The sequence below is a fragment of the Homo sapiens genome, chromosome 15 (genome assembly GCF_000001405.40).
Source record: "Homo sapiens chromosome 15, GRCh38.p14 Primary Assembly".
NCBI lineage: Eukaryota > Metazoa > Chordata > Mammalia > Primates > Hominidae > Homo > Homo sapiens.
The window spans coordinates 85,849,538-85,864,668 of record NC_000015.10 but is presented as its reverse complement, the minus strand read 5'-3'; the positions used below and the strand labels follow the sequence as shown (position 1 = coordinate 85,864,668).

At 45.8% G+C, this 15,131-nt stretch overlaps 1 annotated feature.

The window, feature by feature from the left end:
- Window positions 5,757-5,816: an enhancer, noted in NCBI's record as "active region_10025". NCBI's record gives its function as "activates an Ori minimal core promoter by ATAC-STARR-seq in GM12878 lymphoblastoid cells {active_cell/tissue: GM12878}" and the evidence as "EXISTENCE:reporter gene assay evidence [ECO:0000049][PMID:35858748]".

The following is a 15,131-nucleotide window of genomic DNA, read 5'->3' as shown; positions in this document are numbered from 1 at the left end:
GGCAGCTTAGACATCTCCTGGGGATTGTTATCTGAATGGTGGTGATAACACATAGGGGATTATGTTAAGGACTGAGGATGTTTTAAGGCAGCAGTTTTAAACTTGAGCAAGCCCCAGAATAATCTAAAGGGTTAAAACATAGATTTCTACCCCGACTCCTCCCCCAGAGTCTCTGATTCAGCAGGTCCCAGGTGGTCCCAAGCATCTGCATTTCTTTTTTTTTTTGAGACAGAGTCTGGCTGTGTTGCCCAGGCTGGAGTGCAATGGCAAGATCTCGGCTCACTGCAACCTCTGCCTCCCGTGTTCAAGCAATTCTCCTGCCTCAGCCTCCCAAGTAGCTAGGACTACCGGCACATGCCACCATGCCCAGCTAATTTTTGTATTCTTAGCAGAGATGGGGTTTTGCCATGTTGGCCAGGCTGGTCTTGAACTCCTGACCCCAAGTGATCCTCCCACCTCTGCATTTCTAATAAGTTCCCAGGCAGCGCTGATGCTGCAGGTCTGGTTACCATGCTTTGAGAACCATTGTTTTAAGGACTAAAATGGCATAAACATATGGTAAGCATGGGGTAGGTAGTCAACAATCAATCAGACCTCTGCCTGACACTTCCCAGGGCTCCTTCCAACACACCCCCTTTGAGTAGGCACAAGCATTTCTGAGACTGAGTATATCTCTACAAGACATGTCCTGGGTGTTTATCTTAGACATGAGATAAAGCAAAGTTCTCACAGTAGTGCAGGGAAAAGACCCACGTGGGCTTAGGCTGGGATTTCAGGCACTGAGTGGTGCGGCTCAGGCTTGGATGGGCACAGTTGCTTGGCCCCACCCTGTGCAGAGACGTTTGACTGAAAAAGACACAGGCCTTTTTTTTTTTTTTTAATTTTACTTTAAGTTCTGGGATACATGTGCAGAATGTGCAGGTTTGTTACATAGGTATACATGTGCCATGGTTGTTTGCTGTACCTATCACCCGTCATCTAGGTTTTAAGCCCCGTATGCATTAGGTATTTGTCCTAATGCTCTCCCTCTCCTTACTTCCAACTCCCTGACAGGCCCCAGAGTGTGATGTTCCCCTCCCTATGTCCATGTGTTCTCATTGTTCAACTCCCACTTATGAGTGAGAACATGCGGTGTTTGGTTTTCTGTTCCTGTTTTAGTTTGCTGAGAATGATGGCTTCCAGCTACATCCATTTCTCTGCAAAGGACATGAACTCATCCTTCTTTATGGCTGCATGGTATTCCATGGTGTATATGTGCCACATTTTCTTTATCCAGTCTATCATTGATGGGCATTTGGGTTGGTTCCAAGTCCTTGCTATTGTAAATCATGCTGCAATAAACACACGTCTGCATGTGAAGACACAGGTCTTATGATGGAATAAGACACTGGACACAGGTCTTATGATGGAATGACAATACCCTGAAGAAGCACCTGAGAAGGAGCCTGTCTTGCCCAAGTCTAAGGGCAGGGCTGGTTTGGCCTACACGATATCCATTTCCCCATCTCTGGGAATAACACCTCAATCTCCCTTTGGGGAGCCACTCTCCACCATCCCTGTCCGTGTGGTTCAAGTGGGGCCCCCTCCTCACTCCTGCCGCATGGGCTTGTGCCATTCACACCCAACACAGAAGTGCGTGGTCGACGGAGTAAGCAGGTCTGAAATCCAGCCGTTCTCTGCCAGCAAAGCATGTGCTGCTTAGCCCAGTGGAAGGGGCGCCCTTTTGTTACTCACCTACCCTAAACGGTCACCCCATCACCTCTCCAGGACCAAGGTCCATTCCATTCCTGACCACAGTAAGCAAAAGGATCACTAGCAAAAATCCCTGACACAGCAGACCACATCGATGGCAGCGCATGGGAAAGAGACCTGAAGGTTTAGTTATTTCACAAGCCCAGTGAGCCAACAGATTGATACAGCTATCAAAAAGCCAGAGGGAGACAAAAGTCTAGAGCTGTCTTCAACCGTATTTATGGAAGTCTAGCATTCAGATCAAAGCAAGTCACGAATCCGATGTGATTTACACCAATCAGGCCATAATAATTAATTTACATTCTTAATAACAAATTAGGTCTGTGAAAAAAACTAAAAGCGGACAATAATCAAAAGCAAACTCCAAATGTAGTTCAGGTGTAAATTCTGTGTGTTCTTTCAAGGTTTAATATAAAGGTTCTCAACCCTAATTGCACATTAGATTCAACTGGGGAGCTTTTAAAACTATTTGTGCTGGAGCACCCCCGCCCTCAAGACTCTGATTTAATTGGACTGCGGTGGGACCCAGGTAACAGTATTTTTTATTAAAGCTCCCCCGGTGATCATAATATGCAGCCAGAATGAAAACCACTGGTTTAATATTAAACATACTCTTTGGAAAATGTGAGCATTAGCTAAATAGTGCAAACGTCATCTAGACCAGCAGTTCCCAGCCCAGAACGATTGTCAGAAACACCTGAGATGGGTTTTTAAAATTCAGGTCCCTGGCCTGACCCTTAATCTACTCAATCAGCATCTTCTCTGATGAGGCCCAGAACTCAGCATATTTTTCAAGGACGCCTGCTCAATTTCAATCATCAGTCAGTGACCTACCATAAAGTTTCTCCACTGGGGGTGCATCTCAGCTCCACCTGGGCTCAACCCAGGCACACGGAATCAGTGTGGGGGCTGAGCATCAGTATTTTCGAATTTCTCCTGATTGTCCAGACTGGGGTGAGAACATGTTTCTCTTAGCTGAGCCACAGTCAGGGGGTGGCCAACAAAGAGAGAAGCCTGCTGCTTGTGGTCAAGCTCAACTCTTCTGCCTCCAGAGAGGATTTTGAACCCCAGCCTCCTCCTGTCCTTGCCCAGCATAGCAGTCTTGAATAAGCTGGATGAATGAACTATCTTTTCTCTTTTTTTTTTTTTTTTTTTTTGAGATGGAGTCTTGCTCTGTCACCCAGGCTAGAGTGCAGTGGCGCAATCTTGGCTCACCGCAACCTCCACCTCCCTGGTTCAAGCCATTCTCCTTCCTCAGCCTCCTGAGTAGCTGGGATTACTGGTACCCGCCACCATGCCTGGCTAATTTTTGTATTTTTAGTAGAGACAGGGTTTCACCATGCTGGCCAGGCTGGTCTTTAACTCTTGGCCTCAGGTGATCCTCCCGCCTCAGCCTCCCAAATTGCTGGAATTACAGGCGTGAGCCACTGTGCCCGGCCTTGAACAAATCTTTCACTTGCCATCCTTTGGTATGGATGTTGCCTTCAGCTGAATTGGCTAGGTTCAAGCTGACACCACTTCGGCTAACATGATGCTTTCCACTGATGGGCTTCACGTGCTCACAGGAGGATGTCCCCCGCCAATGGTTGCGGATCTCCTGGCACATCTGGAGAACATTTTATAAACAGCCAGGACTTTGGTGGTTGGGAGTTAAGTTTGAAGATGAAACTACTCTTAGATTTATGTTGTTAATAAAGTGAGCTTCTTTCTGTTCATATTGGGGAAAATGCTTAGACTTTCAGCAGTGTCTGGCATGGCCCAGCACTGTGCAAAAACTGTCCACCTAGAACACAAGGTCAGCAGAAGAACAAAAGGTTGAAGGTGGCCTGTGAGTGAGGGAGAGGCCGTAGACACAGGGCCCTCAGGGCTGTGGACTCCATGGGGTTTCAGTGCCCACCTGACCTGAAGTCTGCCCCATGAGTCTTAAAGAGGCCCTTGTGAGAGTCATCCGGCAGCCAATCTGACCCCTGAACTCAGCGCACAGGGCTGCCCACCTGGGGTCCCTGAATATATCATCCAATCCTGGGACGCGAGAGCCCCTCAGCCCCCTGACATGCACACCTTGATGACGATTCACTCAACAGGGGCAGCTCTGACCACACAGGTCTTACGACGGCATGACAATACCCTGAAAAGATCTGACACTGTGAATGCAAAGAGCCACGGAGCCTGATGCAGACCTGGGGTGGGACCATGAATCTACATTTCTAACACTCCAGGTGACGCCACAGTTGCCGTCCAGGGGCTACACTTTGAGTAATTAAATCCAACTCAGAAGGCATGAAATGATGACGTGACCAGCCACTCCCGTGAGTGACAGGAATGCAGGAAAAAGGCAAGGCGCTGCCAGCGTTCCCAAGGCACCCCACTCACTCTGCCTCCTTCCCTGCAGAGAGGTGACATTTCTGAGTAGGCAGTGAAACTTACAAGAAACAGCATATGGTTGGGCATGGTGGCTCACGCCCGTAATCCCAGCACTTTGGGAGGCCAAGGCAGGAGGATTACTTGAGGCCAGGAGTTCAAGATCAGCCTGGGAAACATAGCAAGACCTCATCTCTACCAAAAAAAAAAAAAGCAAAAAAAGTTTTAAAAAATTAGCTGGATGTGGTGGCAAGTGCCTGTATTCCCAGCTACTCAGGAGGCTGAGGTGGGAGGATTGCTTATGCCCAAGAGTTTGAGGCTATAGTGAGCCATGATTGTACCACTGCACTTCAGCCTGGGCCACAGAGTGAGACCCTGTCTCAAAAAAAATAAAAATAAAAAAATTTAAGGAAACGGCACAGAAGAAGATGTCCAGAGACTCACAGTCTAGTACTGATTCCTCCATTAGTAAGCTCTGTGACTCTAGGCAAATCCCTGTATCAAATGTACTGGCTGCTGCAACAGGCCCTGTAACACCTAATACAAACAGAGACCTGACAATGTTTGAAAATCACAAGTGGGTGCACAAATGTAAGGCCAAAGAACCACGATCAAAAGTTCAGAGGTCAAAGGGCAACATGCTGCCCCCAGCATCCTCACTCCTGTCTTCATCAGCCACTGCCCCGCAGGTCCCTTAGGGAGACAGGCACCATTAGTGATGCAGAGAAGTTCCCAGCAGGCTTCTCCTAGAGCCGCACTGTGTTCATAGCCAGTGAGCCCCATCAACCTGGTCATCCCTGAGGCAAGAGGCTTTAGAAAAGGACATCAGATCCCTCTTGGGCCTTAAATTCCTAGCTGCTGTGTTTGACTATTCTTTTCATCCTTCAGCCCCTAAGGAGGTTATGGGGAAAGTATGTACTCTTCAAATGTTGTGGGCAATGAGGTAAATATTAATGTTAGTACGTCTCCATTTGATAAGGAAACAGCAGGATGAGGAATCGGGTTGGGGAGTGGATCAGAACGACAGGGCCTTTGGGAATATAGTCCTGCAGTGAGTTTAGAGATGGTATATGGCTATACCCTGAAATTCCTAGGCACAGAGTGGCTCTGAGTCTCACTTATGGTTTCTACATCCCTACCCCCTGCACCCATCACACTATCATCCGCCAACACACACTGAGACCCTTAGATCTAATTCTAAGTTAACTGCTGTTTGGGGGTGCAAGGGTAGCTAGCAGAGATGATCATGAGTCAAAGAAAAATAAAAAATAAAAACACATTCCTTCTCTCCAGGAATTTAAAACTAAATATAGACATTAATTATAGTATAAACAAAAACTGCAATAAAAGTCAGGATAAGCCAAATGTCAAGCAAGATTTTCAGATGTGAAGTGCTAAGAAGTTCTATAAGGAAAAAAACCCTTGGCTCAGGCGTTTCTGACATGTGGCTGCAACACAGGGCAAAGAAGGAAAATAGGAATCATAGCCATTGTGGCAGCTGCAATTGGTTGAAGGCTCACCATGCCCTGCAGAATGGCACTAAGGGTTTGGGCCACACCCGAGGAGGCCGCAGGAGGAGTTGGGCAATGCTGCCCCCTAGAGGTCAGCTGAGAATGTCACTGAACACTGGAGACTTAAACCCCGGGCGCCGCCGACCGTGGTGTGCTCAGAGTCCGGATGCTCTGTGGAAAAAGACATGAGCCTGTCTCACCTTGAGGTGAGACCTGGGGGTTCAGACCTGTTCAGATCTTCTGCTGGGTTCGGAGGAAAGGACTCGGCCACGAGGGACGTGTGCACGCGCGCGCAGACACACGCACACTCACACACACACATGCACACACACACACACACACACACCACTGCTGGGAGCTCCCTGGGTAAGAGCTGTCGGTAAGTAATGCAAGCTCTTTATCCACCTGCTGTGAGCACAGCCTGCAGGAAGGGGAAGCAGGACAGCAGCCCAGGGTGTGACCCACAGGTTCAGCAGACAGAGGGCAAGTGTATCAATTCACTCTCCTGAAACGAGAGGGCTACTGTTACTAACTTCAGTCTTTCAAATGAGAAAAAATGATCATCAGAAATACTGGTTCCCGACCAGGAGCGGTGGCTCACGCCTGTAATCCCAGCATTTTAGAAAAAAAAGAAAGAGAAAAGAGAAGAGAAGAGAAATACTGTTTCCCTGGGCCAGGTGTGGTTTCTCACTTTGGGAGTCCGAGGCAGGCGAATCCCCTGAGATCAGGAGTTTGAGACCATCCTAGCCAACATGGAGAAACCCTGACTCTACTAAAAATACCAAAAAATAGCTGGGTGTGGTGGTGCACACCTGTAACCCCAGCTACTCAGGAGGCTGAGACATGAGAATCACTTGAACCCAGGAGGCAGAGGTTGCAGTGAGCCAAGGTCATGCCACTGCACTCCAGCCTGGGTGACAGAGGGAGACTCTCTAAAAAAAAAAAGAAGAAGAAGAAGAAAGATAAAAGAAAGATAAAATGGCCACTAGTTTATTTTCTTCATTTTCACTTCATTAACAAATAATAACATATATGTATGGAGTACATTGTGATGTTTTGAAATATGTATACATTGTGGAATGATCAAATCAGGCCAATTAACATATTCAGGATCACTAATTTAATTAGTGGCAAACCCAAGCAGTGGCTCTAGTTCTTCCCAGGGTAGAGTGGGAACTGTCAGAACTAACATTCAGGAATGAATCTTAATGGGGAAAATAAATTTTAACTATCAGAATTCTAATGAGAAAACAAGCATGGCTTAAATATGCCTGAGGTTTGAGTGTGTAGTAATCTAGAGTCAAATTACCTTGATGCAGATGAACTCAGGGCATCCTAAAAATTGCAGACCCAAGATGTACAGGGAAGTCCCAGTGCAAAACAGCTCCCAACCCTCTGCCCTGTCTCTACATTTATCTCCTTTTTTTTGCTTGTTTGTTTGTTTTTTTGAGGTGGAGTTTCACTTTTGTCACACAGGCTGCAGTGCAGTGGCGCGATCTTGGCTCACTGCAAACTCCACCTCCCAGTTTCAAGCGATTCTCCTGCCTCAGCCTTCCAAACAGCTGGGATTACAGGTGCCCACTGCCACACCCAGCTAAATTTTGTATTTTTAGTAGAGATGGGGTTTCACCACGTTGGCCAAGCTGGTCTCAAACTCCTGACCTCACGCGATCCACCTGCCTCAGCCTCCCAAAGTTCTGGGATTACAGGCGTGAGCCACCATGCCTAGACTTCTACATTTATTTCTGTGTGCTGCCTCTGCTGTGTCAGAAGTTAAGTGGCTAAAGAAACAGTTAAATTCTTACCTTAGAACAAGGAAGGAGAGAAGCCTTCCCTGACAACCAAATAAATATAAAATGATCTCTCCCTTTCCTAATGACAATAAGTTAAATTTTTTTTAAAGTTTGGGGGTTAATTTGAATATGCAAACTTTCTAGGGATGTGGAAAGAATAGTCAAAATGTCTACTTGTTAATATTTCATTTATTCACTGATGTGTGAACTGTTCTGCAGTAACATAATTTGAATTTTTTACATCATGTATTATTACAAGTGCCCATGTCCATCTGCCATTCATGACTTCTTTTATAGCCACTTACATGTGGGGTTGATGGTGTCTTTCTTGGTTCCCAGCTTCCTAACTGGAAGAAATGTAAGGTATAAGGGTAAAAAAGGCAAGACCCAGGATAGATTCATGCAATTTGCCAAAATTATTTGTTTCTATTTTTCTTAATTTTTCAGAATCAAGAATTTGAAAAAAAATTACACCATCAACATTGTATTAGTCCGTTCTCACAGTGGTATAAAGAAATACCTGAGACTGGGTAATTTATAAAGAAAAGAGGTTAAATTGGCTCACAGTGCTGCAGGCTGTACAGGAAGCATAGCAGCTTCTGCTTCTGGGGAAGCCTCAGAAAACTTTCTTTCTTTTTTTTTTTTTTTTAAATGTGAAAATTAGCATTTATTTAAAGGATATCTAAATATGGAAAATACACTATATAGACTGAAGGAGACAAAGACATTGTTAATGGTTAAACAATGTCCTCTCCATTCCAACCTAACTTCGGTCTACTGAGCAAGTAGAAGACTGTGAGAAATAAAACAATTACAGAAAATTAAGACATTTCTTTTTGTCACCTCAGTGACAGTGTGTAAATTTCCAAACCAATTCCACACAATTGCACTAAAATATAAATACTAACTTATCCTTTCAATGGATACTTTTTTCTTTGAGTTCCTCCAACAGAGTCCCTTTCCTTGTAAGTTTTGAAAAGGTTGTCAACATTCCTTCATCACAATTCAGCAAAACACTAGCTGCTATGTCATGCTCGGGTATCAACAGCGGAACTTCTTTGCACTCTCCCTCCTTCTCTCTTCTGAATAACAGGAAGGGTAAGAGTCAGCAGCACACATTGGATTTAGAACTGAAAGTATCTTTGGTTCCCTGCTAAGACTTAACTATCTCCTAGGAACCACATCATCTTTTCTTTTTTTTTTTTTTTTTACTTCAATCATGGCGGAAGGCAAAGGAGGAGAGAGCGTGAGTTGTCTCACATGGTAGGAGCAGAAGCAAGAGAGGAAAGAGGGAGGTGCTACATACTTTTAAATGACCAGATCTCGTGAGAATTCACTCATTATCATGACAACAGCATCTGAAGAATGATGCTAAACCATTCATGAGAAATCTGCCCCCATGATCCAATCACCTCCCACCAGGCCCCACCTCCAACACTGAGGATTACTATCCGACATGAGATTTCAGCAGGGACACAGATCTAAACCATATCAAGCATTATATATAATTTTAGAGATGCCAGGTTTCAACAATTGTTGGGAAAATTTTGTATTTCAATAATCTTGTTTCTGGAGAAATGTTTTTATTTTCAATTATCTCATCACTTTAAAATAATAAAATCGGCCGGGCACAGTGGCTCACACCTGTAATCCCGGCACTTTGGGAGACTGAGGCGGGTGGATCACCTGAAGTCAGGAGTTCGAGACCAGCCTGGCCAACATGGTGAAACTCCATCTCTACTAAAAATGCAAAAATTAGCTGGGCATGGTGGCGCATGCCTGTAGTCCCAGCTACTGGGGAGGCTAAGGCAGGAGAATTGCTTGAACCTGGGAGGCAGAGGTTGTAGTGAGTCAAGATCATCCCATTGCACTCCAGCCTGGGTGACAACAGCGAAACTCTGTCTCAAAAATAAATAAATAAAATAAAATCTTGGCCAGGCACGATGGCTCATGCTGTAATCCCAACACTTCGGGAGGCCGAGGCGGGCAGATTACCTGAGGTCAGGAGTTCGAGACCAGCCTCACCAACATGGTGAAACCCCATCTCTATTAAATACAAAAAATTAGCCAGGTGTGGTGTTGCATGCCTGTAATCCGAGTTAAGGCAGAAGAATCGCTCAAACTCGGGAGGCGGAGGTTGCGGTGAGCCGAGATCGCGCCACTGCACTCCAGCCTGGGCAAAAAGAGCGAAACTCCATCTCAAAAAAAAAAAAAAGAACTAGATGTATGGGCATTTGTAATATTTTCCATCATCACATCCCTAGAACATCCATAGTTCAAGCAACCCCAGCTCCCTGCAGGCTGAGCTCCTGCAGTAATATCCTGCACAAAAGCAAATCCAGCCTGCAGCCCAGCCCCAGGATCCCTGCTTGCCTCGGAGCCCTGCTTCCTAACCTCATGCATTAGAGAACATTAGAGTCCAAGCGGCAAGGTGGTTTGTTACTGCATTGGGAGGAGTGATTTCTCCTCTCTCGTTCCTTATTGCCGTGCTCAGTATGATAATATTTCCTTGATTTTCTCTCTATCTCTTTGACAGTTGCATATCAATGGTCCCTTCTGCACAGAGCAGACTTTTCTGAACACTCAAAAACTCCTTCATACACACAAACACACACACACACACCCCAGAGGACAAGGCCAATTCTGCCCATAAATTTGTCAACTTGTTGCCGTAGAGACAGACTCCGGGTACCCCAAATGTGGATCATCAGTGCCACCTAGTGGAACATTGATTATCCTGCATCCTCCAAATCCCAAGACTTCGGATGGGAGACAATGGTTAGGTTTTTTGTTCGTTTTGCTTTTTTGTTTTGTTTTTGGTAGCTATCTGGAGCTCTCTTTCAATGTTCTAGGGATCTGCCCACCAGAATCTACTTCAACCAACTTCCTCCAGGCTGGTTCCTTCCCACCCGCAAAAATAGATCACATAGGGCACTGGCAGCCCATCTCACGTTCGGGACGCTTGGCTTCACTACCTCATGCTTACTTCTTTTTTTTTTTTTTTTTTTTTTTTTTTGGCGGGGGGCTCTGTCGCCCAGGCTGGAGTGTAGTGGCGCGATCTCGGCTCACTGCAAGCTCCGCCTCCCGGGTTCAAGCCATTCTCCTGCCTCAGCTTCCCGAGTAGCTGGGACTACAGGCGCCCGCCATCACGCCCAGCTAATTTTTTGTATTTTTAATAGAGACGGGGTTTCACCGTGTTAGCCAGGATGGTCTCGATCTCCTGACCTCGTGATCCGGCCGCTTCGGCCTCCCAAAGTGCTGGGATTACAGGCGTGAGCCACCGCGCCCAGCCACCTCATGCTTACTTCAAAAAAACGCCGGAATGGCTAGGTCCCTTGATTGTCACATATAACAACAAAGACAAACCAACACCTGATCCATGGGAGAGTAAGATTCCTGAGGATTAAAAATAAATGAAGTCCTCCTTTATCATTTTATTCATTTGTCTGGCCTGTGTGGCTTCTATGGCTTCTAGCTCACACATTTGAGTGTGCAACAAGTCAATTTTCTTTATTTTCTTTTTTTCTTTTTTTTTTTTTTTCTTTTTTTTTGAGATGGAGTATCGCTCTTGTTGCCCAGGCTGGAGTGCAATGGTGCAGTCTTGGCTCACTGCAACCTCCGCCTCCCAGGTTCAAATGATTCTCCTGCCTCAGCCTCCCAAGTAGGTGGGATTACAGGTGCCCGCCATCACGCCCAACTAATTTTTTATTTTTAGTAGAGATGGGGTTTCACTATGTTGGCCAGGCTGGTCTGGCACTCCTGACCTCAGGTGATCCACTCACCTCAGCCTTCCAAAGTGCTGGGATTACAGGCGTGAGCTACCGCGCCCGGCCCAATTTTCTTTATTTTCTATACAGAGCTTACCCATTGCACTGGGTAGCAGAAGCTAATATCAATAAATGCAGGGTCTCCCACCCTCACTTTATCCAAGTTCCAGAGGACATAGAGGGTGTTGAGTCTGGGCAGGGTGGGTCGGGAGCATCTTATCCTCAGAGTGTTATCAATCCACACTCCATCCACTAACAAGGCCCCCTCCCTACTCATTTCAAGCCATGACCCTGGGGAAGAGCGCTGCTAGGTCCACCTGGTCGAGCCCTGGAGTGTCTGCAGGCCAAAGCCACCCCCTGCTGCTCTGCCCTGCCAACCTTCTTGAACAATGGCTGCCAGGTGGTGCCAGTGAAAGAGGGAGACCCTTGGTGAATATTTCCAATTATAATCTGTCAACCAAGATTTATCACACTTAGGGGCATGACCACACTTTGGGGCTTGTGGTACATAAAAATGAGAATGCAAACTCCTTTCTTACAATCAGAGACTCCTTGGGAGACAAACTAGTCAACCAAATACAGAAATCTTCCCAGCAATTGTTTCAAGGGAGGCACAGGCCCACAAGCCCTTCATCGAAACACTCGGGCCAGATGAGTTTGGGGATTCTGAATTTGTCGGATTTTAGGAACTATCTAGGATGTCACCCATAATCTATCACATCCATATTTCTGCAGCAAAATGTACCAGCAGTAAAGTGAAATAAAGACAGGCAACAGCCTCATGCTGGCTCAGGCAGGATTTGCCACCAAATGAGTTTTAGCACCAAAAAGAAAAAACTTTCAGTTTTCACAACTTTTTGGAGTTCAGAATTACAGATAAGTGTTTGCAGACCTGTATGTACAATGCAGAGAAGGGACCTGTCAGTTGGCCCAAAGACGTCAGGAGGCTTCAGAGAGGAGGTCGTGTTTGAGCTGAGATCTGACAGTGAGAGCTGGTGGGGAGACCAAGCACAGGAATCAGGTGAGAACTAGCAGAGTATGAGGGTGGGGGCAGCCTCCCCTAATTCGTTGTGCTTGGAACTATTAAGCCAGACTCTTCACTCTTGTTGGCATTCCCAAGTTGGCCTCAAAACCACCCTGTTGCAGGAAGCCTGCTGGAAGCCTTCTCTGACTACCCACCCTCTCCTATGTATATTGCATTGACATTCCAAAAAAGTCCTGTGGGTTTTCTTTCAGGCCACTACAGATATAAAATTCCTTGAGTACAGGTACAAAAACAGACACATAACACATATTCAGTGGAACAGAATAGAGAACCCAGAAATAAAACTGTGCACCTTCTTTCAAAAGAAGACATACATGTGGCCAATAATCATAGGAAAAAAAGCTCAACATCACTGATCATTAAAGAAATGCAAATCAAAACCACAATGAGATGCCATCTCACACCAGTCAGAATGGGTATTATTAAAAAGTCAAAAAATAACAGGTGCTGGTGAGATTGTGGAGAAAAAGGAATGCTTATCCATTGTTGGTGGGAGTGTAAATTTGTTCAGCCATTGTGGAAGACAGTGTGACGGCTCCTCAAAGACCTAAAGACAGAAATACCACTGGACCCAGAAATCCCATTACTGGGTATATACCCAAAAGAATATAAATAATTCTATTATAAAAATAAATAAAATGTGGTACATATACACTATGGAATGCGACGTAGCCATAAAAAAAGAACAAGATCATGTCCTTTGCAGGGACCTGGATGGAGCTGGAGGCCATTATCCTCAGCCAACTAACACAGGAACAGAAAACCAAACACTGCATGTTCTCACTTATAAAATGGGAGCTAAATGAAGAAAACACATGGACACATAGAGGGGAACAACACACACTGGGGCCTTTCAGAGGGTGGAGGGTGGGAGGAGGGAGAAGATCAGGAAAAATAACTAATGGGTACTAGGTTTAATATCTGGGTGATGAAATAATCTGTACAACAAACCCCCATGACATAAGTTTACCTATGCAACGAACCTGCACTTGTACCTCTGAACTTAAAATAAAAGTAAAAATAAATAAATAAATAAATAAATAAATGCAGACTATGGCTGGGCTCGGTGGCTCACGCCTGTAATCCCATCACTTTGGGAGGCCAAGGCAGGTGGATCACAAGGTCAGGAGTTCGAGACCAGCCTGGCCAACATAGTGAAACCCCGTCTCTACTAAAAATACAAAAACTTAGCCGGGCGTGGTGGTGGGTGCCTGTGATCCCAGCTACTCTGGAGGCTGAGGCAGAAGAATCACTTGAACCCGGGAGGCGGAGCTTACAGTGAGCCGAGATCATGCCATTGCACTCCAGCCTGGGTGACAGTGAGAGACTCCATCTCAAATAAATAAATAAATAAATGCAAAATAAAAAAGCTAAATGAGAAGATATAAATAAATAAATAAAATAGAATTCCTTCAGTACAAACAGGACCTTCCCTCTGTTGTATCTTTCCTACTCTATACTTATCCCTATTTGAGGATTCTCAATAGCAGCCATTCCCTTCCCCATACAACCATAACCACCTCAGCACCTGACAGTAACAACAGCAACACGTTCTTAGAGTTTCTTGTCTTGGGGGAATGAGGGTGACATTAGTCCTGGGGGAGAAAAGGAAGGGGGGAAATCTCTAGGGGTTGTGTGCACTCACTTGTGTGTTTCATCTCCTTACCCCCGACTCACAGAACAAAGAGACAGAATCTTTTTCTGTACGTTAATTCTTGAATCAGTGGAGTTTCCAATGCAGTGATGTAAATATTCAGGCAATAAACAAGGAGCAGATGGAATGGCCTTCACAGTTATTTTCATGTCTCTGTCAAAATATTTACTTTGTACATAAATCTCTTTTAAAATACATTAATTTGGCATTGCATGCAAACATTTCCATGAATATTAATCAATCACCCCCAAATTACTAAATGTAGCTTCCATTTCAGCATTTCATCAGCACTTACCAAGGATGGTTGGGCTGGGCAGGGAGTGGTGGCTCATGTCTGTAATGCAGATCACTTGAGTCAGGAGTTCAAGACCAGCCTGGCCAACATGGAGAAACCCCGTCTCTACTAAAAATACAAAAGTTACCTGGTTGTGGTGGCCCATGCCTGTAACTCCAGCTACTCGAGGGGCTGACGCAGGAGAATCGCTTGAATCTGGGAGGTGGAAGATGCAGTAAGCTGAGATTGTGCCACTGTGCTCCAGCCTGGGCGACGGAGTGAGACCTTGTCCCCAAAAATCCAGAATATAAGACCCAAAAAGGCCTTGCCTAAACAAAGGGATGGGCGTCCCCCGGACACCGGTTCAGGGACAGGGATGGGGGAAGAGGAGGGGCCCAGGAGGGCTTCACCCTCTGTCCGGGTGCAGGCCAACACCTGCTCTTGCCCACCCAGCCCTCAGGGAAATCAGCCTGCCACACCACCCGCTGTGTTGTGAATAGATGCTAAGGCAATTCAGAGAGCTGGGAGGAGGCTAGCGGAGAGGGGATATTTCTGGAATGTGTCTATTCTCTAGGGCTACAGTAAATCAGCCTGAACTCCTTAGAACTCTATTTGCTGCACATCACGTGAATGCAAATCCGTATGATTGGTTCAGAGTTTGTTCAGCATGGATCTCCTCTCCATTTTTGAAGACATGCACAGCACAAAACCAAATATATATTTGATACACTGAAAGCATGTGGTAGATTTTAATGGAAATGGTTACCCCTTGGCAAAGAAACAAAGTATGGAGGAGGTCGGTCAGTCTGCAACACTGCCCTCACCACCACCCCAACAGGGGAAGGACTCCTTGGAGGCATCCACTCCACTCCACTCCATAGTCTGCCAGAGGGACTCGGCTGTGACCTACAGTGAGCACCAAGGACCGCCACCTGGTGCTACTAGCAAAGGTTTGGAGAAGGAAGTTCAAGCTC